Raw genomic sequence first — 2,605 nt, forward strand, 5'->3', positions numbered from 1 at the left:
TCCAACACCCAATCACGCAAAACAAACAAGCAAAGAAACAAAACTCTCAGTAAACTGAGTAGAGAGAAGATTTCTCAGCTTCATAAAGATCATGAGCCCAGACATGGTGACTCATGCCTCTAACCCCAGCATGGGATTGGGAGGACAAGGTGGGTGGATCACCTGAGGTCAGGAGTTTGAGACCAGCCTGGCCAACATGGTGAAATCCCGTGGCTGCTAAAAATACAAAAATTAGCTGGGTGTGGTGGCACACACCTGTAATCCCAGCTACTCAGGATGCTGAGGCACAACAATAATTTGAACCTGGGAGGTGGAGGTGGCAGTGAGCCGAGATCACACCACTTTAGCCTAGACAACAGTGTGAGACTCTGAAGAAAAAGAAAGAAAAGAAAGAGAGAAGGAAGGAAGGAAGGAAGGAAGGAAGGAAGGAAGGAAGGAAGGAAGGAAGCTCAATAATATTCTGGAAGTCCTACATAGTACAATATAAGAAAAAAATAAAGGTTACATATTAGAAAGCAAGAAAAAATTACTTGCATTGTTTGCGGACAACATGAACGTCAATGAGGAAAGCCCCAAAGAAATGACAATAAGAAATTCTGGAATGATTAACTGAGTATAGCAAGATCACAGGGTACAGGATTTAAATATAAAAGTCAATTGCTTTTGTATATGCCAGTAATGAATAATTATAATTTGATATTTAAAAATACAATAGCACACGCAAAAAAGGAAATGGGTATAAGTCTTTCAAAATATGTACAGCATATACATGTAGAAAACTATAAAGCTCTAATAAAAGCAATACACAAAAATCTAAATAAACAGAGAGATAATAATTTATTTATGGATCAGAATACCCAATGTTGTTAAGATATCAACTCTTACCAATTATACATATGTTCAACAAAATCTCTCTCTAAATCCCATCAAATTGTACTTTTCTTGGTGTAGACATACTGATTCTAAAGGTTATAAGACAAGTCAAAAAACCTAGAATAATCAATACTACTTCGCTTAAGAAGAACAAAGTTAGAAGACACACTCTACCCAATCTCAAGGCATACCACAAAGCTAAGGCAAACAAGACAGCATGGTTCTCGTGAAAAGATAGATACCTAAAGCATTAAGACAGGAAAAAATGTTGAGATACAGCCCCACAGAAATACAGTCACCTGACAAAAAGGAAAGGCATTTCAATAAAAGAAGACTGATCATTTCACCAAATGGCATTGGAATAATTGGGTGTCCTTATGCAAAACAAAACAGAGAAGCAAAAAACTAGAAAAAGACCTTATACTTTTCACTAAAATTAACTCATAATAGATTGTCAGATTAAATGTAAAACATAAAATTTAAAAAAAAATTGTAGAAGAAAATGTTGGTGATCTTAGATTTGTATGAGCTTTTAAGTATATTTCTAGATGAATAACCCATGGCAGAAAAAACAAAGTGATAAACTAGATATTACTAAGTTAAAAACTACTGCTCATAACAGCATCTTAGTAGCAAAGGATACTGTTTAAAAAATTTAAAGTACAGACTCATAAGCTTTTTTCAAAACGAATATCCCATAAAGGACTTGAATAAAAAATATACAAAAAATATTGTAAAACTCAACAATTAGAAAACAAGCAACCCAATTTAAAAATGGGCAAAAGATCTAAATAGACACTTCAGCTTACATAAACAAATAGAAAATAAACATACAAAGTCATACTCAATGTCACTTGTCATTAGGGAATTGCACGTTAAAACTCTAGTGAAAGTTCAGTATATGCCTGTTAGAATGGTTTAAATAATAAAATAACACACTGACAATACCAATCTTTGGCAAGAATGTAGAACTACAGGGATTCTCATTCATTGCTGGTGGAGATGCAAAATGGTACCATAACCTTGGACAACAGTTTAGCACTGTCTTCTAAAGCAAAACATGTTCTTACCACACAATTCAATATTCATGTTCCTAGGTATGTATCCAACTGATTTTTAAAAATTTATGTCTATGTAAAACCTGCATGCAAATGTGTATAGATGCTTTATTAATGGTATCCAAAAACTGGAAGTAACAAAGATAGCCTTCAATATGTTAATGGACAAACAAACTGTGGCACAGCCATAAAATAAAATGTTATTCTGCAGTAAAAAAAAATAATGAGTCTCAAGCCACAAAAAGACATGGATGAACCTTAAATGCACATTGCTAAATGAAAGACTCCAGTTTAAAAGGGATGTTAATTGTACCATTCCAATGATGTAACATTCTAGAATAGGCAGGCTGTGGCAATGGTAAAAATATCAGTGGTAACCAGGAATGAAGCAGAAAAGAGAAGGTTGAGAAGCACAGGGAAACTTTTAAGAAAGCAAAACTATTCTTTATGGTACTATAATGGTGGATACAATATATTATGCGTTTGTTAAAACCCATAGTACATTACAGGTTAAAGATTGAGCTTTAATTATGCAAATTTTAAAGTCAGGAAGTTGAATATCCCAGAAAGGAATGTAGACTGTGACAAGAAAATATATGTGTATTACAAATTTATGAAACTACTGATCTCTAAGTAACTGGAAATAAGTGGAGTCTGTAAAACTTTAGGATAAA

General features: G+C 33.6%; 1 annotated feature.

The window, feature by feature from the left end:
- Positions 1,000–1,200: a silencer, noted in NCBI's record as "peak582 fragment used in MPRA reporter construct". NCBI's record gives its function as "represses an SCP1 promoter by STARR-seq MPRAs in K562 erythroleukemia cells {active_cell/tissue: K562}" and the evidence as "EXISTENCE:reporter gene assay evidence [ECO:0000049][PMID:32103011]".

Source organism: Homo sapiens, chromosome 1, assembly GCF_000001405.40.
Source record: "Homo sapiens chromosome 1, GRCh38.p14 Primary Assembly".
Taxonomy (NCBI): domain Eukaryota; kingdom Metazoa; phylum Chordata; class Mammalia; order Primates; family Hominidae; genus Homo; species Homo sapiens.